Consider the following 21,645-nt stretch of genomic DNA (forward strand, 5'->3'; position numbering starts at 1 on the left):
AGCACCCCTCCCCCACGAATTTAAACACAGATGCTGGTTGCTAGGGAGGGATGCTGAGGTCAACACACACATTGGTTATTTTCTGAAACAGAGAGAGCTTGGTGGAAAAGATTCCTCTCCTGGCTGGTCGTTGGGAGTTTTCTTGGCAAATCCATTCTGAATCTCCAGAATTAGCAGACCTAGAGGAGGCATGTGAAGACTTTGCTGGAATGCTATTCATTCATTCATCACTCTCTCACCTCCTTCTTATTCTTCAACTCTGCCATCTGCCTTCTTCCCATATATCACAAGGGGAACTGTCCTTATGAAAATTGCCAATGACTCCTCTCTTGTGGATCCTATGGAATTTTGCTCCTTTCCTTCCTGGGTCTCTCAGGAGAACCTTCTGGAAACATGCTTTACCCATGGCTCTGCTCCCATTCTTCCCATCCTCCCACTGTGAGTACATTTACTCCTGTGCCTTCAGTTTCCATCTCTGTATTGGGTCCCAGTCCAAATTTATAGCCAGGACTACTCTGTGAGTTTTGGTCTCCTGAATCCAAATGCCTACTAGAACCTTCACTCTTGGATGTCTCTCTGGCATCTGGAACTAAACGTGTCCAAAGCACTGAACTCCTCCTCAGCCCCGTTTCAAAGCTTGCATCTCCTCCAGAGTTCCCTGCTGGATGCCTAGGACCACTGTCCACGTGCTTACCTGAACCAGAGACTGAGGACAGACAGGCCCAGCCCCCGCCTCAGCCCTACACCATTTAGTCACTAGTCACTAAATCCTCCTTGGAAATATCCCCCCACTTCCTGCCAGCCCCACGGCCCTCTAATGCGGCTCTGGCATCATGATCTCTGCCAGCAATGTCCCAACCTGCCTCCCACTTCCCACGATGTCCACCTCCTCACCCCACATCCTACCACCCACCCTGCAGTCAGATCCTTCCAACATAAATGTGATGGTGCCACTTCCTTAGTGGCTTCCCACCACTCTGAGGGATGAGTCAAACTCCTCCAGGTGACATTTAAGTCCTCCTTATAACCCAGGTCCTGCCTGCCCCTCCAGCCTACTGACTTTTTGCTACTCATCTCTCAAATCTCTCAAACTCTGTGCCCACCATGCTGAACGGCTTGACTCCCACCTTTGCACAGGCTATTACCTCTGTTTGGGGTGCTCTTCCTCCTGCCTCTTCATTTGGCTTCCCCTTCTCATCCTCCAGGGCTCCTCTTACATATAACACCCCCCAGGACAACGTCTCTGACTAAGACTAAGCTAAGTATCTCTCCCAATCAATCAACTCTCTAGGGAAGATGGTACTGGTGTTCAAGTTCTTTTCTTTTCTTTTCTTTTTTTTTTTTTTTTTTTGAGATGGAGCCTCGTTCTGCCACCCAGGCTGGAGTGCAGTGGCATGATCTTGGCTCACTGTAACCTCTGCCTCCTGGGTTCAAGCAATTCTCCTGCCTCAGCCGCCTTAGTAACTGGTACTACAGGCGCCCACCACCACACCTCGGTAATTTTTGTATTTTTAGTAGAGACAGGGTTTCACCATGTTGGCTAGGCGGGTCTCAAACTCCTGACCTCAAATGATCCACCCTCCTCGGCCTCCCAAAGTGCTGGGATTAGATGCATGAGCCACCGCACCCGGCTGTCAAGTTCTTGATGAATGGGAAAGTTTACTGAGAAGAGGAGAGGAAAATCTTTGAGTATATTTTTAGCCAATGAAGACTTTCTTTTTGATACTTACTTTCCAAACAAAAATATATTAATTTCTTACTCTGAGTCAGCGGCACCTGTGCTGGACACAGGTTTGCCAGCAAACAAGACAGACACACGCCTTGCCTTTTAGGAAATTATAATCCAATAGGAAAGACAGATACTAAATTAACAGTTCAGCCAAACTTAATGGGTACTAGCCCTAACTCTCTTGTGGCAGATTGTATTTTCCAAAGATGGCTTCAATATGCTCTCTTTCAATGTGACTAACACTATTCCATTGAGATACAGGATCTGCGTTCCCTGTCCTTGAAACCGGTTGGACTGCTATGACCAATAGAATGTTGTGGAAGTGACACTGAGTGACTTTAAGTCAATAAAAGTTTCCACCAATCTTTATTTCTCTCTCTCTCTCTCTTTTTCTCAGGACTCTCTCCTTTGGGATCCAGTCACCATGTTGTGAGGAAGCCCAGACCACATGGAGAGGCCACATATAGAGGTTCTAGCCAATGACTCCAGCTAAAGCCTCAGTCAACAGACAGCATTCACGTGAATGAACAGGTCTTCAGATGAACCCAGCCCCAAGCCTTTGTCCCTTTCAGCTCAGTCCGCAGACACCAAGAAGCATGGAGAAGCATTTGCCCTATCGAATTCCCAATCCACCGAATCCACGAGTGATTGTTTTATGCCACTAGGTTTTGGAACAATTTGTTCTGCAGCCATGGCAACTATATTACCTCTCTAGGTTTCCTTGCACAAAAGAACACTGGACTGGAAATAAAGTGAGTGGAATATTCCCATCCCTTTCTCTTAATAGCTGTTGACACTCAGTAGCTGTGTGAACTTGGGCATGTCATTTCTCATCTCCAGGTTCTTTATCCTCCCTCCTGAAATACAAGGATAGAGTTGGATGATTTCTAAGACCCTAGGAAGCTTGAAAATTGTATCAACAGAGACTCTTTATGGAATGACCCAATTAAAACCATGTCAATTGATATGGCAAGAGGTGAACTTTTTAACTGAAATTCTTGATTTTTTGTTTTATCTTTCTGGGAGGTGAACTCAACTAAAGCCATTAGGAAAGCAAAAGGGCTCCTTTAATGCATAATTCATGAAAGGAGAGTGGGTTTGACCCAACAGGTCATTTGGAATAAAAATGCCATAAAAATAAAATATGTTATCCCTCCCCTTCTGCCCCCCCACCATCCCTCACACTAGCTAATGGAGGGGAAGAGTGAATTAAACTGGAGTTCAGGTCAAAGGTTTAGTTGATTTATTCCAGAATGGTCATTCCCTCCAGCTGCTCAAGTAACAATAGACATTGCAGATGTTCAGGCAGTTTTGTCCCCACCCCAGGGCCCTTGTCCTGAGTGATAAGTCCCCTCCTCCTTCCCTGGGGAGATGAACTCATTTTCTAATGGCCTGCCCAATTAGGAAGCATATGAGTCTAGCGAGAAGACACCTTGTCTGCTTCAAAAGCTTTGGGGAAATTCCCCAAAGGGCCAACCTGTTTCACAGAGGCAAAGGGAAAAAAAGTAGACAGCCTGTAATTAGTATAATAACCTGTTCAGATTCCACCTGCCTGTGATTTCCCCAGCTTGTTCATCCATTCATGTATTCATTCACTCAGGCAACAAATATTTACAGAGCAGCTGTGATGTGTAAGCCCTGGTGATACGACAGGTCCCCCAGAAGAAGCTAACGATTTGTGTGCAAGCGATTGATTAAGGAAGTGCTCCCAGGGGTGTCTGGCAGGGGGTGGGGGTGGGGGGAGCAGGACAGGGAAGGGAAGACTCCAGTCAAAGGTTGATTTCAAGCAAAGTCCAGGCCTCAGCCTGATCCTTCAGCAAGCTCTGGAGTGTAAAGTATGCCTCAGAGGTTGTCCCAATTCAAAGCAAAGGTGCTAGGCTTTCAGACTTCTGCATCAGACAGTTATGGGTAAAGGCTGCCCTGGTAGAAATGTAAATCCCAGGCATTTCTGACACTGCACATGCAGGCAAATGGGTTCCAGGAGCCTGTGTACAGTATTTTTTCTTCTTTGTTTTAAGCCACAGGTACATGCTAGTACAAGTAAAACAACAAAATAGCCAGGGGCAGACCTTTTCCCACTCTGCCAACCTCTATATATTAGCATTATCTTGCTTCATGGTTGCAAGATGGCTGCAGCCGCTCCAAACTTCCATCCTCTTACAACAATATCCAAAGGCAAGAAGGGTTGGGCAGGCAGCTAGCCCCACCCCTACAGACCTGACTTGCCAGAGAAGAACATTTCTCCAGTACACTTTGCATTGTGTCCTCTTTGTCAGAAGTGGGGCAATGCACCCTTTTTTTTTCAGACAGGGTCTCATTCTGTTGCCCAGGCTGGAGTGCAATGGCACGATCTCGGTTCACTGCAACCTCCGCCTTCCGGGTGCAAATGATTCTCCTGCTTCAGCCTCCTGAGTAGCTGGGATTACAGGCGTGTGCCACCATGTCTGGCTAATTTTTGTATTTTTAGTAGAGACAGGGTTTCACCATGTTGGCCAGGCTGGTCTTGAACTCCTGACCTCAAGTGATCAGCCCACCTAGCACTCCCACAGTGTTGGGATTACAGGCATGAGCCACCGTGCACAGCCTACAATGCACCCTTTTAAACCAATTCCCACCAAAAGGGAATGAGATTACCATGAATAGTTTCCTGGATTGGGAAGAGGTCACCTTCTGTGAGGATCTTGCCCAACTCTTGATACCTAATGGGTATCAAGAGGTGGGCAAAAAAAAAAAAAAAAAAAAACAAACAAAAAGATACCTGATGGGTTCTTGTTATCAAGGAAGAAGAGGGGATAGCTTTTGGGTAAACAATGATCCATGTGTGCTACACTGGTCAATCAGGGCACCATGCTGTCTGGGCTATGGTGATTGGTTCAGGATGGACATATTACTCAAGCCAAGCCAATCAGAGTTAGTCTTGGGAATTTTGCTGTACTCACCAGGAAAAGGATCTTAGTCTTTCCTGAAAGCATCTAGGGTAAGAAACAGGACAGCCATAACAGCACCATGGGAACCCTGAGAATAAAGCCAACACAAAGAGAAAAATGAAGTGGATCCAAGAGAGGGAAAGAGATCAAATCTGGCTGGCTAATTCAGAACCCCTAAATCCAACCTAGGCTGAAGCTAACTCTACCCTTGGGCAGAAAAAAAGTTCCTTTTTGCTAGTTCACCTTGGTTTGTATCTTCTGTTTATTGTACCTAAAAGATTCCTAAGGAGTACAAGTGGCAAACAAGGTAGACAAGCCTGTGCCCTTATGGAGTTCACAGTCAAAACAGGGAGACAGGTACCGGACAAAGAATTACAAGAACAATGTGGGTTACAAAGGTCAAGTGCAGGGGACACGAAGACCACATAAATAAACCGGCCAGCCTAGTGTAGGAATCAAGAAGAGTCCCTGAGGAAATGTGGTTCAAGCTGAGCTTGAAAGGGCAATGGCTGTTTCCCAGCATTAGACTCCAATGTTACCCCTGACTTCACAGACGTAGCAGGGGACAGGCACTCACTGGGGAAGCCTGCTCTGTTTCATTAGGACTGTGCAACTGTTCCACACTCCAACATACCCCTCAGTCTTTCATCCATTCTTCCAACACCCTAATTTGTTCAAAAGCTGCCAAGAATGATCAGATTTTTTTCCCCCTGCACTCCTGTAAAAGCCTTTAGTTCCGGAGAAAGACTGTGATTTCTTTCATGTTTAGGAGTGTTTTCTTTTCTTCTTAATTCCTTCCCTCCCTGTGTAAATTGGAGCAGTCAAATCAGGTCTTGAGGTAGGGAAGGGACCAAAAGAACTCCCAGCCAGGTGCAGGTCATCAGTGAGGCTGAGAGACACTGTAAGTGGGGAAGCCCTGCAGGAAATATGGACCTCACACTCCCCAGATAGAAAAGTCTCTCAGGCCACTCTCTTCGAACCTCACCCAGGGATGTTCTCTGGCATCATGCACTGACTCGGAAGGGAGAAAAGCTCTTGGTCCAAATGTCCCAGTGCCGCTGTGAGCTCCAACAAGTCTCTGAGCTTCAATCTCCTAATCTGCAAAATGGAAAAAATACACACTGAGTCGTACCTGCCTCAGAGGGCTTGGGTGCATCAAAGGTGATGTTGTGAATAGGCCAGGAAGCACGCTCCAGCATCCAGTCATGATCCACAGTCTCACACTTCCATTCGACTAGGGTCCTCAGGCCCCATTCTCCAGCCCCAAGCACAGAGACCAAATCTCCCAGTTCTCTTTCTTTGGGTTCCATGCCACCCATACTCCCATCTCATGTCCACCATGACAGCTTCCAGAGCTAGGCCCAGGACACATGTGCTAATTGGAAGGGTCACTGTTGTGGTTTGCCACCTCAGGTTGGAAGACTTGTGCTCACAGGCTGTCACTTTCATGCTGGAGGCTGACTAATCTGCTCCTTCAAGGGCCCGACTTCACCTTAATTCCAAAATCAAGGAACTTCCGTGGGTTCTTGGACCTTCGTCACTTTAGAAGCCACCATATATCTATCTGTAATGTATATGCGTAGCAACCCCCTAAAGCCAACTCCATGGCACATGATGGAAACAGGGCCCATGGAATTGTGCCACCCAGGGTAGGGCACCTGCAAGGCAATATTTCAACATAGTAACTCTGCCAAGCTACCCTTTGGGCCAGTGGGTATCTTTTCTTTTCTTTTTTTTTTTTTTTTTGGAGAAGGAGTCACACTCTTTCGCCAGACTGGAGTGCAGTGGTGTGATCTCAGCTCACTGCAACCTCCACCTCCCGGATTCAAGCGATTCTCTTGCCTCAGCCTCCCAAGTAGCTGGGACTACAGGCACGCATCACCACACCCAGCTAATTTTTGTATTTTTTAGTAGAGACAGGGTTTCACCATGTTGGCCAGGATGGTCTCGATCTCTTAACCTAGTGATCTGCCCACCTTGGCCTCCCAAAGTGCTGGGATTACAGGCATGAGCCACTGCGCCTGGCCACCAGTGGGTATCTTTACACAGCAGGTCAACCTTGTAAAGCAATTTGTGTTAGTCTTTAGTTGGAGATGGGCAGCAGGGTCTGGTCCTGAGACTGAAACCAGCTAGCTGGGTGGCCTTGGGCAGTCATGGCCTCCTCTCCTCAACTGTCCCCACCTTTCAAACTGTTTCCAAAGCCCTTCAGCCTTTGGAAACAGAAAGGAGATCTTCAGGGGCCTATGGAACCCTGCACACACATCTACCCCCACCTCCCAACTTCAGATAGAGCAGCACCACTTTTTAACATTTTACAAGTTGGATTCTGAATAAAAGTTTGCCTGAAAGAAATTTTCCAAAGAAGGGAAGAAGAGGAGGAATAATTAGGCTAGTGAGTTGGCACAGCCCATTCAACTTTTTTTTTTTCTTGAGACAGGGTCTCACTCTGTTGCCAAGGCTGGAGTGCAGTGGTGCGATCACAGCTCACTGAAGCCTTGACCTCCTGGGCTCAAGCAATCCTTACACCTCAGCCTCTGGAGTAGCTGGGATTACAAGTGCATGCCACCATGCCCAGCTATTATTTTTTCTCTCTTGTAGAGATGAGGTCTCACTATGTTGCCTAGGCTGATCTCGAATTCCTGAGCTCAAGCAATCCTTTCACCTTGGCCTCCCAAAGTGCTGGGATTACAGGCATGCGCCACTGTGCCTGGTCCCCGTCCACTTTTTACACATGATGACTTAACCACGGCTGAGAATCTCAGATATATTTTTGTTCTAATGACTTCAAGAAGACAGTTTTTTCGTAGCAGATGTTGAGTAAAATGGATCCGCTACTTTTTTTTTTTTTTTGAGACGGAGTCTCACTGTGTCACCCAGGCTGGAGTGCATGGCATGATCTCTGCTCACTTCAACCTCTGCCTCCCGAGTTCAAGCGATTCTCTTGCCTCAGCCTCCCAAGTAGCTTGAACTACAGGCGTGCGACACCACTTCCAGCTAATTTTTGTATTTTTTTTGTAGATACTGGTCTCGAACTCCTGGCCTCAAGTGATCTGCCCGCCTCGGCCTCCCAAAGTGCTGGGATTACAAGCGTCAGCCACCACGCCCAGCCACTGCTTCTTACCAAAGCACTGAAAGTGGTTCTGAGAGGAAAAGATTCTTTAAAGTGGTGCTACTTCACTTCAGTGTGTGCGTGGACCACCTGAAGAGCTGGTTAGAACTCCAGATTCCTAAGACCCCGCCCTCTCAGGGTAGTGATTTGAGTTCAGACTTGCAGCTGAGAACAAGGACTGGCATCCCCTCTACCGGCCACCAGCTCTCTCACTGGGGCATGCTGGTCAAACAGTCTGTGCCTCAGCTTTCTCATCAGTGAAATGGGTATAATTATGTATATACCTTAGGATTCATGAGGATTACATGAGTTAGTAAGTGTCAAGCACTTAGAACAATGGCTAGTCCATAAAAAATGCTCAGTAGGCCAGGCGCATTGGCTCACATCTGTAATCCCAGCACTTTGGGAGGCCGAGGCGGGTGGATCATGAGGTCAGAGATCGAGACCATCCTGACTAACATGGTGAAACCCCGTCTCTACTAAAAATACAAAAAATTAGCCAGGCGTGGTTCCGGGCACCTGTAGTCCCAGCTACTTGGTGAGGCTGAGGCAGGAGAATGGCGTGAACCCAGGAGGTGGAGCTAGCAGTGAGCCAAGATCGCGCCACTGCACTCCAGCCTGGGCAACAGAACGAGACTCCATCTAAACAACAACAATAATAATAACAAATGCTCAGTAAATGTGAGTTGTTAGTGATATCAGGGTGGAGCCCAGGAAGCTACATTTTAACCAGCAGCCCTGGGTGATTCGAATGCAGATCTATGGCCTGCACTTGAGGACCTCGGTTCTACAGAACACGGACCAGCCTTCATCATCTATAAGTGATTCCTTTACCTTTCATAAGAACAAGGAGCTAGGGTCTTCTGTCCCAGCCATCTGTGTGCCTCAAAAGGCAGCAGCTATTTTCCCCTCAAATGGAAATAGCTGGTTATTCCAATTAGACATGGAATACATGCTAATTACCCCCCTAAATCAGAAAGGTCAGAGAGATGGAAAGAAAAAACTATCTATAAATAATCCCCAAACCCAGAGAAAACTTGTAATGTGTCGTTTCTATGCCTACACACACACACACAAACACACACACAGAATTTTTTTATTGTAATCACCCTTTTCCCTTAAATGTGACAGGAACATCTTTCCATGTCAATAAACACAGCCCTGTGATGTTTATTTTAATGCTGCTCACTATTCCAAAGTGTGGACTTACATAATTTATTTAGCCAAACCCTAATTGTCAGACATTTTGGTTATTTCCTTTCTTTTTTTTTTTTTTTTTTTTTTGAGACACAGTCTTGCTCTGTCACCTGGGCTGGAATGCAGTGGCACAATCTCAGCTCACTGCAAGCTCCGCCTCCCAGGTTCACGCCACTGTCCTGCCTCAGCCTCCTGAGTAGCTGGGACTACAAGCTCCCGCCACCATGCCTGGTTAATTTTTTGTATTTTTAGTAGAGACGGGTTTTCACCTGTTAGCCAGGCTGGTCTTGATCTCCTGACCTTGTGATCTGCCCGCCTCGGCCTCCCAAAGTGCTGGGATTACAGGCGTGAGCCACCGCGCCCGGCCGGTTATTTCCTTTCTTACAGACTGGTAATTGACAATTTCAGGAACATCCAAGTCGCATGTTCCTGTGGCGCCCTGCGTGTTTCCTTAAGTAACCACACATGTAGATTTTGTTCAGTGTTGGTCTCCTTTGGAATGCAGAACGCTCTGAGAGATCAAGGCTGTGCCTGCCTAAGCCCACCCTTTGCACAGAGCCTATGCAACGAAACAGGTTAGAAATGATCCGGAGTTTATGCTGTCGATTCAGAGGCACCAGGTGCAAACCCAGCTCTGCCTGCAATTAGCTCTGGGCTGTGAGCAGTGAATTAACCTTGGAAGGCTTCAGTTTCTCTGTCTGTAAAATGGAGATGGTGACATGGCATCTCATGGGGTCACCCTGAGCAGCCTGCCAGATAATGCATGGGACATCTTACATGGTGCCTACCACCTGTTAAGTCTCAGTTACTTACCAAGCACTTACCAAATATTTAATGAACTAAAATATAAATAAATACATTTGCACATTAGTCAAAATTCCTTAGGATCAATTCCTAAGATAAGAAGGGTTATACTTCTTAAAGACTTTCAATTCATGCTATTAAATTCTCCTCCAGGAATGCTGTGACCTCCACAAAATTCTGGTTTCTCACTGCCCCATAAGCCCAAGGAGGGGGAATCTGTGATAATTGTTCCCTCTCTTCGATGAGGGAAAACACAGGAGGCTGGGGGATGGAGGGAGTTCAGTACAGCAATTGCTTGAGGTCATTTAGGTAAGGCTGACTTGAATCGCATCTTTTTTTTTTTTTTTTTTGAGACAGCTTCTCGCTCTGTCGCCCAGACTGGAGTGCAATGGTGCGATGTCAGCTCACTGCAACCTCCGCCTCCCAGGTTCAAGCGATTCTCCTGCCTCAGCCTCCCGAGTAGCTGGGATTACAGGCACGTACCACCACGCCTGGCTAATTTTTGCATTTTTAGTAGAGACATGGTTTCACCGTGTTGGTCAGGCTGGTCTCCAACTCCTGACCTCAGGTGATCCACCCGCCTCGGCCTCCCAAAGTGTTGGGATTACAGGTGTGAGCCACTGTGCCCGGTCTGAATCCCATCCTTTTAAGGAAGAGTGAGCCAGTGATGTGGCAGAGAGGCAGCCACCATTTCTGTGATACATCACATCAGACTTGCCTGGACATTGAAGTCAAGTCTGCCCAAGTGCATCAGCAGGACCCTTAGGCATCTCTATCCTGGACCCGCAGACCCTGTGCCTGTGGGCAGACAGGCCTGTCTCGCAGAGGGTGAGGGAAATGCCTGGGACCAGCCAGCATCAGCCAGCCCTTTACAGGGAGGACTGAGGTCCCTCACTGCTGATCCTTTGGGCCTCCCCTTGATCTGGAGCCCAGGCTTCCTTCTGAGGCCTTTCTCCTCCCTCAGCTGTGACTAGCTGTGTCTGTTTTTCAGCGGCCAATGGCTAATTCCAGGATTACACTTTCTAAGTTGATGTAATGTGATATCCAGAGTGCAAAAGCTTTGCTTCCAGCCGTGAAGCATGGGGAATTTCTCCAGGGGCTGGAAATCGCATTCAGGCCGTGGAAGGGCATGGGTGAACCACTAAACCTTTTCATGACACACAGCTCCATAAAAAGTGGAGGAAAATCTGGGCTGAGAGGTATAAACTCTATTGCAACATGTTTTCAGCTCCTGAGGAATTGAAAAATCCATCCTTAGTCACGTTCTCTAAATGTGTGGAGAAAGGACGGGGGACATTTCTTCCAAGCGGTGTGACATTCTCTCCCCAAAATTTCAGCCACAGAGCACATATAGGAAAAGGGATTTGGGGAGCATAAAAAATGAGCATTTTCAAAAGAGGGAGCTATTTTCAGCAAAATAATTTCAACCCACAGAGTAGCCTTTTTTAGGGGTGTTTTTTTCTTTCTCACTTGAATAATAATGGCATTTTCCCCAGTTTTTTTTTTTTTTTTAAAAAACACCTTAGGCATTCAGAGACATGTAAGTCTATGAAAAAGATATTATTAGTAATAAAAATCATAATAAGAGTCATTTATTTTTATTTTTGTAAAGACAGAGTCTTACCATGTTGCCCAGGCTGGTCTTGAACTCTTGGCCTCAAGTGATTTGTCTGCCTCGGCCTGCCAAAGTGCTGGGATTATAGGCACGAGCCACCGTGCTTGGCCAATAGTCAAAATTTATGAAGCACCTAACCTGTTTTAGGTAGTTCATGACAGTGTTCATATTAATTAAACCTCTATATAACCTTAGCCCTATGACCAAGGCAACATTATCCATATTTTGTAGAAGAGGAAACCAAGCTTAAAGAGGGAAAGCCATTTGGTCAAGGTAGGATAACAGTTTTCTCCCATCCAAGTACTAACCAGGCCAACCATGCTTAGCTTTGGAGATAAGATGAGATCGAGTGCGTTCTGGGTGGTATGGCCACAGACGGATAACATTTTTCCAACCTTTTATTAAAGTGCACCCCAGAAAAATATACACATTGTCAGGAAACAGCTGGATGGATTTCACCAAGTGAACACATCGTGTAACCAGTATCTCAACCAAGAAACAAGACGTCCCTTCCAGCCTCCAACCAAGAAACAGGACGTCCCTGCCAGCCCCTCTCCTGCGCCCTCCCACCCCTTAATTCCCAAGGGTGACTACCGCCCTCACTTACACCGTCCACTCACTTTGCCTGTTTTAAAATCCACATCTATGGAATCATACCATGTTTACTCTCTTATCCGTAATGTCCTTCCTGCAACATGGTGTTTGCGACAGTCACCAGTGTTGTTGCGCGTAGCACTCGTCTTATTCATTCTCGTTGCAGCATGAATTCTGTGGTGTGGATGCCCGTTCTGGAGCTGTTGGGCCTATGGGTTGTTCCCAGTTGGTGGCTCCTACAAAAGACACAGCTATGAACCTTCTCAGGCATTTCTTCTCATGCATTTAGAAGGGAAACATATGTTCAGCTTTAGGAGATTCTGCTTTCCAAAGGTGGTAGTCCAATTTACACTCCCATCAGCAGCATCTGAGAATCCCAATTGCTTATTTGCCTCCTTAGAATTTGGGATTGAGGCCGGGCGCGGTGGCTCAGGCCTGTAATCCCAGCACGTTGGGAGGCCAAGATGGGAGGATCACGAGGTCAGGAGTTCAAGACCAGCCTGACCAACATGGTGAAACCATGTCTCTACTAACAACACAAAAATCAGCCAGGCATGGTAGCATGTGCCTGTAATCCCAGCTACTTGGGAGGCTGAGGCAGGAGAATCACTTGAACCGGGGAAGCAGAGGTTGCAGTGAGCCGAGATCACCCCACTGCACTCCAGCCTCGGCAAAAGAGCAAGACTCCCATCTCAAAAAAAAAAGGAACTCAGGATTGTCTACCTTTTTGTTTTAGCCATTCTGCTGGATGGATGTTGGATATAACTTTTAAGTTGAGGAATCGGGCATCAAACCCAAATTTTCTAGCTTGGTGCCTGGCCTAGTGCCTGGTACTTGGTGGGTGCTCAGGTGTATTTGCTGAATTAATGAATGAATGACCCCAAAGCTCACAGTTGTTCTTTACATTATTCTGCTGTTGCCTCCACCTCAGTCCCAGGCTCTCCACATCACAGGCCCCAGCCTCTCCTAGAAAACAAACAGCTCAGCAGCCTGATGTAACACCTCCAGTCTCTAAGACTTGCAATCAGTATAAAAGGAAGCCAAGGGGAGCCTGGAGTCGTTGCGGGGGCCAAGGGCTGTGGAACGCAGGCACAGCTGGGAATGGTGAGGTACCAGCCTGCTGACTGAGCAAATTTCCCATGGGCTCCACCAGCAGCCAGGAGATCAGCAGCCCAAGTGTTTCCCTCGGCGCAGGCCTGGCTGCCCCACCACTGGGCGAAGAAAAGCCTGTGAAGCAAAAGGAGAAAGGGAAAACAAGAAGGAGGCTGTGCAAACAGCCTGATCCACCTGCACTAACATCTTCCAGGAGAGAAGGGCGGGGCATGACGTGCAGACGGAGAAGAGGCTCTTAACTCCCTTGCCAGCCCCACAGGTTCACTAGGGCAACTTTTTTCAGAGGAAATCTAATAGATTACCCTTCCAATTTTAAACACCCTCATGAGAACAGGATTAAGTATGATTAAGATAATTCTATTCATTGGGAAACAGAGAGCATTGCCCAGGGCCCACTGCCCCCCAGTGTACGTGGTCTGAGTGCTTCCTTCCTTTTGCTCTTTCATTATCCTGCTGGCAAAGTCTAGGAGAGGAATGATAGCAGTCATAGTTAGCACTTTCAAGTGCTCATGTGTACGAGGCCCTGCCTCAAGCACTTTGCTGGAATTTCTTTTTTTTATTTATTATTATTATTTTTTGAGACAGGGTCTTACTCTGTCACCCAGGCCGGAGTACAGTGGTGTAATCGTAGCTCTCTGCAGCCTCAACCTCCCAGGCTCAAGTGATCCTCCAGCCTCAGCCTCCTGAGTAGCTGGGACTACAGGCATGCACCACCACGTCTGGCTAATTTTTAAATTTTTTGTAGAGATGGGGGTCTCACTATGTTGCTCAGGCTGGTCTCAAACTCCTAGGCTCAAGTGATCCTCCCACCTTGGCCTCCCCAAAGCTCTGGGGTACAGGCGTGAGCCACCGTGCCTGGCCAAGTTACCTCATTTAAACTTTGCTAAGATCCTAGAGGGTGGGGACTATTCTTGTCCCCATTTAAAGGTGAGGAGAGTAGAGCATCCAGTGGTAATCTTTAAAGATCAAACAACTAGTTAGCTATTGGTAAAGGAATAACTCAAACCCTGGTGTTCCAAGTATCTATTGCTGTGTCACAAATTACCCCAAAACTTCATGGTTTAAAACAATGACCACTTGGGAAGGGATCAGCTCTACGGAGGGTCACCCAGGTCATTTGTGGTCTTCAGCGGGCAGAGGGGCTCAGTTGAAGGATCCAAGACAGCTCCTCTCACGGGGCTGGTGCCATGGCAGGGGGTGGCAGGGTGGGCAGCCCAGCTGGGACTGTTGCCTGCAGTGCCCAGGGGTGATCTCCTACAGCAGTCTCAGGGTAGTTAACCTTTTCACAGGGCAGCTCAGGGCTGCAGAGAGGGGCCCAGGGGAGAGCAAGTGGGGACCGCCTCAGGCCCGCATCCACAGTCTAGCAAAGCAACACCTCGAGGCTGTCAGAGCCTGGCCAGATTGAAGGAGACAGGACACTGGCCTCTCAATGGGAGAAGGATCAAAGCGTTTGCAGCCATTTTTACCACGTTTTGTTTTTGTTGGATTCCAGAGCTGTCAGCGGTAACCACAAACAGATACTGCTTCACTGGTCTTTGCTGAGCATCCCCTCTGTGCCAAGCATCTGACACATTTATATATCCTGTTTTACTCATTCCTAAAAGCAAGAAAGAGAGGGAGATAAAGAAGGAAGGACAGGAAAGGAAGGAAGGGAGAGGGGAGGAAACCTAGGAGGCACAGATTTCTGCCCCTTCACAGATGAAGAAACTGCAGCTGGGAGAAGTGAAGTCCCTTGTCCAAGACTGCATGGCTAAGTGAGGGTCAAAGTCAGGACTCCAAGTCCCTGTTCTTCCCTCCTTCCTTCGTCCTTCCTTCTGGGTCTGAAACCCTCCCCCTGGCAAGTCCGTGGCTATACTTTTCCCAGTTCCCAAACACAGCCCTGGTGTATGAAGGGTGTCCCTGGGGCCTTCACCCTTGCTTAAAGAAACCCCAGGCCAGGTGTGGTGGCTCATGCCTGTAATCTCAGCACTTTGGGAGGCGGAGGTGGGCAGATTGCTTGAGCTCACAAGCTTGAGACCAGCCTGGGCAACATGGCCAAACCCTGTCTCTACTAAAAATACAAAAATTAGCCAGGTGTGGTGGCACATGCCTGTAGTCCCAGCTACTCAGGAGGCTGAGGCACAAGAATCGCTTCAACCCAGGAGGCGGAGGTTGCAGTGAGCCAAGATCATGCCACTGCACTCCAGCCTGGGTGACAGAGTGGGACTCTGTCTCCAAAAACATGAAACAAACAAACAAAAGAAACCCCAGTTGCCAGAAAGGGCTGCCCCAAAAAGGGTGCTAAACAGTTTTCTTCTCTCAGGGACAGCTCTGGTTTGTTCAAAGGGAAATGAGTGATTACAGGGGTCAGCTAGGATGGCCGGAGAAGGTTCCCCTCCATCTGTCCACCCTGAAGGCCCAATTTCCTTAAAACGCTCTGCTGGGACATTGAAACTACAGATGCCATTCAGAAACAATAAATATATATGACTCTCAGTGGTTCTCCAATGCAGCGGGCAACTTCGAAGACCTGTATGCAGGACAAGGAAAACAGCTGACTAAAGCAAGGGGCTTTCAGTGCACTATCTCTCATCCTTTCCAAGCTGATATACCATGAGGCACAGCCTTTTCAGGCACTTTTTATTGCTGTAATGTGTCAGCCTGGGTAACAGAAAGCAGGCGAGGAAGGCTTCATTATAAAAAGGAATCTTCTCATGATACTTTAATTCTATCATTTTCTTTCCTGACAAGAACTCACACACGTACACAAAAATGTGAATTTAATTTTGGGCTCTCAAAATTACTGCAAACGTGATTACTTAATCCCCCTTGGTTCAATCTTAGAATGTTGACAATTTCCTGCTAAGATTCTGGAGGCAGCAACAGAAAGTTGACAGTGTGAGTTTTGGAGATAGCCTGTCTGCCTCAGCTCTCAGCCCTCAGCAGCCAGGGGAGGGGGGTGGGAGGAGTGGGTAACTTATGCCCTGTGCCTCGGTTTCCTCATACCTAAAACGGAGAGGGCAGCAGAACCTCCCTCCCAGTGCTGCTGTGAGAGTTAAATGAGGCAAACATGAAGCAAGCTTCACACAGTGCCTGGCATTTACATACTAAGTGTTCATGCCTATTAAACATTAGCTAATTGCACATCATGATTAAAGTAGCCAAAAGAGTTCAGATATCTAAAGTCACATATACCATGTGTATAAGGGCATGTCTCTGTGTAAAAATGACCAAGTATAAATGCCTGTCGATCTTTTTTTTAATTAAAAAATTAATTTTCAGGCTGGTGTTGCTGTAAATTTAAAAATAAAAATAAAAAATAAAAAAAGTATGTATTTATTTAGAGACAGGGTCTTGCTCTGTTGCCCAGGCTGGAGTGCAGTGGTGCAATCACAGCTTACTGCAGCCTCGAACTCCTGGGCTGAAATGATCTTTCCACTTCAGCCTTCGGAGCAGCTGGGACTACAGGTGCACACCACGATGCCCAGCTTGTCAATTATTCTTAAACCTTCTAATTATTACAAAACTAATTTGCTTATTGTGAAAAAATGTTTTAAACATAGAAAAGTAGGAGGAAAAACTAAACACCACCTATCATACAACTACCTTCAGATAAATATTTTTTAACATTTTGGCCCATATACTTCCAATTGTTTTTACTGTGCATAAATATATTTAATTTTTTTCAGTAAGTACTTGCTTTTTTAATAACTTTTTTCTATTCACTAATGACATAAATGTAGTCCCCTGTCATTAAACATTTCTAGGCAGCATCATTTTTAACGGCTGTGTGGTCTTCACCTGAAGCAGGTTAGGTAGTCAAGGAAGTAACCATGTCCTCAGGACACAGCAACAGTGGGGACCTACGGTCAACACAATAAGCCCCAGCATCCTCACTGTAGTCAAGCTCATTCAAGCAAAGCTCCCTCCAGTTGGGAATCTCCCCTGTAGGGAGCATGCGCATTTTGATTTTACCTGTCCTCAGCAAAAGTCTGACCCTTTGCTTGTTATAAGCATAAAAAACACACTTCAGGCGGAGAATTTTTTTTTTTTTTTTTTTTTTTGAGATGGAGTGTCGCTCTTTTGCCCAGGCTGGAGTGCAGTGGGGCAATCTCGGCTCACTGCAACCTCCACCTATCAGGGTCAAGCAATTCTCCCTAGGATAAATTCCTAGAAATAAAGGTCAAAAGTTCTCCACATTTTTAAGCTTATATATAGGTCCACGGCATCCTTCCAAAAGGGTACATCGCTCCCACCAGTGGTGAATCAATATTCTTTTCCAGCCCTGCACATTCCTTGCTCAATTCTTTCGATGATTTTTTATTGAGCACCTACTATTTCAAGCCACTGCTAGAGATGACTAGAATAAGCCTTTTTTCTCTCTATGTTCCATCTCCAAGGATCTCCTATACTCAACTCTGAGGCTATGGCTTCAATCCAGCCCCTTCATCTCCCTATTTTACTGTCAGGGAAATGGGACTGTCTGATAAGTGGAACAGGGTTGGAGACAGAGCTCCAGTCTCTGAGACTGCAAAGGGCCCACTCCTTCTGCCCTTCAGCCAGGAATGTGGCAGTCCGAACGCCCCCTTCCTTACTGCTCTTGTGTCCTCATTGCCTTGATCTGCTTTTCTGGTCCAAGTTTTCTTCCTAAATGTTTGGCAAGAGCTTATAACCCAAACAAGAGGAAGGTTTCAACTCAAACACCAACATGGTGGTTTAGTAGTGATAACCTGGATCACTGGATTGAGGAGGATTCTGAGGCTATTTCTGAGGCCAGCTGGAGGATTGCTGTGATTGACTGGTGATGCCTGCCACAGACATAGGCATGGAGACTAATGATAAGTATGCCTGTCAATTCTGTTATTTACTCCGCTTCCAGCTTCTGCTGTCCTTAGGACAGACCCTCCTAGATTCATGTGCCTTTCTCCTGTACTTCTTTCTTTTGCTCCTTCCTTCTTCATATTCACTCCACGCACTTTCTCTTTTTGTTTCTTTACCTCACACACGTTTGTCATCTCAGTAAATCTTGTTTTCTATAGATTGCACCCTCCTTGTATGAAGCTTGCCAGGAGTGCTCACTCATGCTCTCTGCCTCTCTGCTTCTGCAGTTCATCCATTAAGTTTATCCCCCTCTGTGTTGCCAAAAGCCGTTGGTGGTAAACAACATTCCATGGGCCAGCAATTCCTTCTTGACTGACCCACCACAGGAGGGCTGTTTCCCTCAGGAAGCCCCACTGTTTAGGCAAGAGGGACCTGGCTCCCTGAGAGTCACTAGGAAACCACCCCTACAGGAAACAAAGCACATCATTTATGGTGCCTTGTTCACGTTAGAGCATTCCCTATCTGTACTTCACAAGCTCCCAGAGACTAATAAAAAGTCTGTTTTAGAATTAACTCCATGCTGCCCTAGGCCTGTGGATTGCAACAGAAAAACTTAGCCTTATAGAATTAACAGTCTTTGGGCATAGCATTACATTTCCCATAAACAGTCTTCATGTACTAAGCACTAGCTATCATCAGACATTGTGCTAAGGGCTTGAATGCCTTATCTCATTGAATTTTCCCACTAATCTGAAAGGTGGTACTGTCATTATCCCCATTTTATAGCTGAGAAAACTGAGGGGCAGGGAGTCTAAGTAACTTGCCCAAAATCAGATTCTGCTAGGGAGTGGAGAAGCTTCCAACCATGCAGGCTGCGCAGTTACACATCATATGTTAGTCAATACCATGCCTGGCTCCTTGTGTAGGGGTCATGATGTCCCACCTACCCAACAAGGAACTTAGAAATAATGGAGATAGAGTTGCCATCTGGGAGATAAACCACAGTCAGTACACAATGGATCAGATCAGCAAATTGCAAAGTGGTTCTAAAGACATATCCTGGCTCCCAGGTCTGTGAGAATAAAGATATTAGTGCATTTACAGAAAAAAATTGTGTCCATCTAATGGAGACTTGATCATCAAAAAGGGAATTCAAAGGATGTCTACCCAAGCACCACCCAGGAGAGAGGAGAGTACATCAGAGTCTTCTCTGCCTAATTGGCATATCCTTGTTACACTGTTCATTTATTAAGCTATTATTATTATTGTTTTAGAGACAGAGTCTTACTCTGTTGGCCAGCACAGTGGTGCAATCATAGCTCACTACAGCTTGAACTCCTGGACACACACAATCCTCCTACCTCAGCCTCCCAAGTAGATGGGACTACAGGCACATGTTACCACATCTGGCTAATTTTTTAAGAACTTTTTGTAGAGACAGCACCTTGCTATGTTGCCTAGGCTGGTCTCAAACTCCTGGACTTGAGTGACCCTTCCACCTCGGCCTCCCAAAGTCCAGGGATTACAGGCATGAGCCACTGCACCTATCCTATTAAACTATTATTTATGGAGCAACTACTATGTGTTAGCCCCTGCACTGGGCACTGTCCTGGTACCCACGGAGCCTGCACCCTAGGCAGGGAGGTAGAGGCAGATTTATCCTGCATCAAGACCTGGACCCCTTCCAAAAGCCCTCACAGTATGTGCATGTGTGGTCACATGGTTTTGTAGAATTTGCCCATATAAGATACCTCAATGGCCATCCATTAAGTCCACTGTCTCCATTTTCATTTCCTCTCTGTATTTAAAATAAATATTCACTTTTGTGCTGACTTAATTTTGTTCCTCTGGAAGCAGCCCCTGGGGCAAGGATAGGAATATGGTTGGCTTATTTGGGAGGCACAGGAAACACTGGCAGGGAAGTGGGGAAATGAGAACAGGAAGGGCAGACGGCCAACAAAGGCTGCGTTATCCAGGCAGCTCCCACTGTGGGCAACGGGAGCTTATCCCATGAGGGCCTTTGGGAGACGGCGTGTTTTAAAATGTAGGTTTTATTATTATTTAGCTATGGCAAAGCCAACAGCTCAGGGGATCACTGTCATTGAAAGTTATCTTGTTATACCTCCCAACGGGAGGGGACCCGCCATGCCACAAGGGGCCCCATAGGGAAGCACTGGGGTGGGTCAGGAGGCAGAAAGAGCAGGAGGAAAGCATGAGCCATAGCCTTTATTGGGTCTCCATGAGAATGATCGGCCAAGGCAGGGTTGGCTAGTTTGAATAATTCAGCAGGCTCTGGGGTATAGGGGCTGTCCCTAGTTGTCTGGTCCCTGGCCCCAGGGAGATTGATTGGGCCAGGTAGATAGTGGCTGGGCAGAGCTCAGTAAAGGTGGTTGGGAGTATGGGCTCTGGACGGGCTGGTTGGGTTGAGTTGCTTACCCTCTCTAGGAATTGGCTAGCCCTGGAAAGGGCAGTCCCTCCAGTGTCAGCAAGATCTCAGATGTCAAAGCATCAGAAATACAGAAAATAAAAGACATGGTTAAGACACAGGAGAGAACACACACCTCAGAATGATCCCAAGGAGTCATTGGCTGAGGGCTTCTGCAGGGCAAGAACAGGGAGTAGCAGTCATTCCCAAGCACTTTTTTTTTTTTTTTTTTGAGACTGAGTCTCACTTTGTCACCCAGGCTGGAGTGCAGTGGCATGATCTCGGCTCACCGCAAGCTCCACCTCCCGGGTTCACACCATTCTCCTGCCTCAGCCTCCCTAGTAGCTGAGACTACAGGCGCCCACCATCAAGGCCAGCTAATTTTTTGTAGTTTTAGTAGAGACGGGGTTTCACCATGTTAGCCAGGCTGGTCTCAATCTCCTGACCTCGTGATCCGCCTGCCTCGGCCTCCCAAAGTTCTGGGATTACAGGCGTGAGCCACCGTGCCCGGCCTCCCCAGTACTTTTATGGACAAAAGGCTGGTGATCCTGGCAGCTGAAGTGTCTGGGACATGCTGAAGTGCTAGAATCTCTGGAATATGGGTGGGGCACCAACAGCTCTGCTCCCTATACCTAATTTTACATGCATAATTGCACTTTTTTATAATAAAGAATTTTTATAAAGAATTCCTATAAAGAATTCCTCCAAAACTGCTTCTGATCCTACAAAACTGGCTCTACCCCTATGGGAAGACAATCAGTAACTGATTGTTAAGGGTTGAATTATGTACCCCTAAGATTTATATCTTGAAGTCCTTAACTGCCAGTACCTCAGAATGTGACTGTATTTGGAGAAAGGGTCTTTAAAGAAGTACTTAAAGTAAAATGAGGTAATTAGGGTGGGCCCTAATCTAGTCTGACTGGTGTCCTTATAAGGAGATTTGGACACAGACACGGAGGAAAGACCTCCTGTGAAAGGCCTTCCTGTGAAGACACAGGAAGAAGGCAAGCCAAAGAGAGAGGCCAAGAAACCAATCCTGCTCACACCTCGATCTTGGACTTCTTGCTGGCAGAACTGCAAGGAAGTGCATTTCTGTTGTGTGAGCCACCCAGTCTATGGTACTTTGCTATAGAAGCCCTAGCAAACACACTGAAGATCTGAGAGGCTGGTACCCTTAACTATTGGTGTCCAAGGACTCCCCTTGGCTGTAATCCAGCCTCCTTCTGCAGCCTTGGGGTCATCTTACTTCCCACTGAACAGGGCCCCAAGTTGATGGGGGCTTTGTCACTCTAGGGGGCTCATGTACCTTTTATTTATTTATTTATTTATTTA

At 46.9% G+C, this 21,645-nt stretch overlaps 1 long non-coding RNA gene and 1 pseudogene across 1 annotated transcript in view; both read right to left on the reverse strand.

Annotated features, from left to right (window-relative positions):
* Positions 1–21,645, reverse strand: part of LOC105377161 (uncharacterized) — a 134,312-nt gene that overhangs the window by 97,924 nt on the left and 14,743 nt on the right. The window contains exons 3-5 of the long non-coding RNA XR_940962.3: positions 12,039–12,211; positions 5,642–5,754; positions 4,669–4,744 (exon numbers count right to left, since the gene is read on the reverse strand). This is a non-coding gene — a long non-coding RNA (uncharacterized LOC105377161). The remainder of the gene's footprint in view (positions 1–4,668; positions 4,745–5,641; positions 5,755–12,038; positions 12,212–21,645) is intronic.
* Positions 11,652–11,758, reverse strand: RNA5SP136 (RNA, 5S ribosomal pseudogene 136; annotated as a pseudogene).

The sequence above is a fragment of the Homo sapiens genome, chromosome 3 (assembly GCF_000001405.40).
Source record: "Homo sapiens chromosome 3, GRCh38.p14 Primary Assembly".
Taxonomy (NCBI): domain Eukaryota; kingdom Metazoa; phylum Chordata; class Mammalia; order Primates; family Hominidae; genus Homo; species Homo sapiens.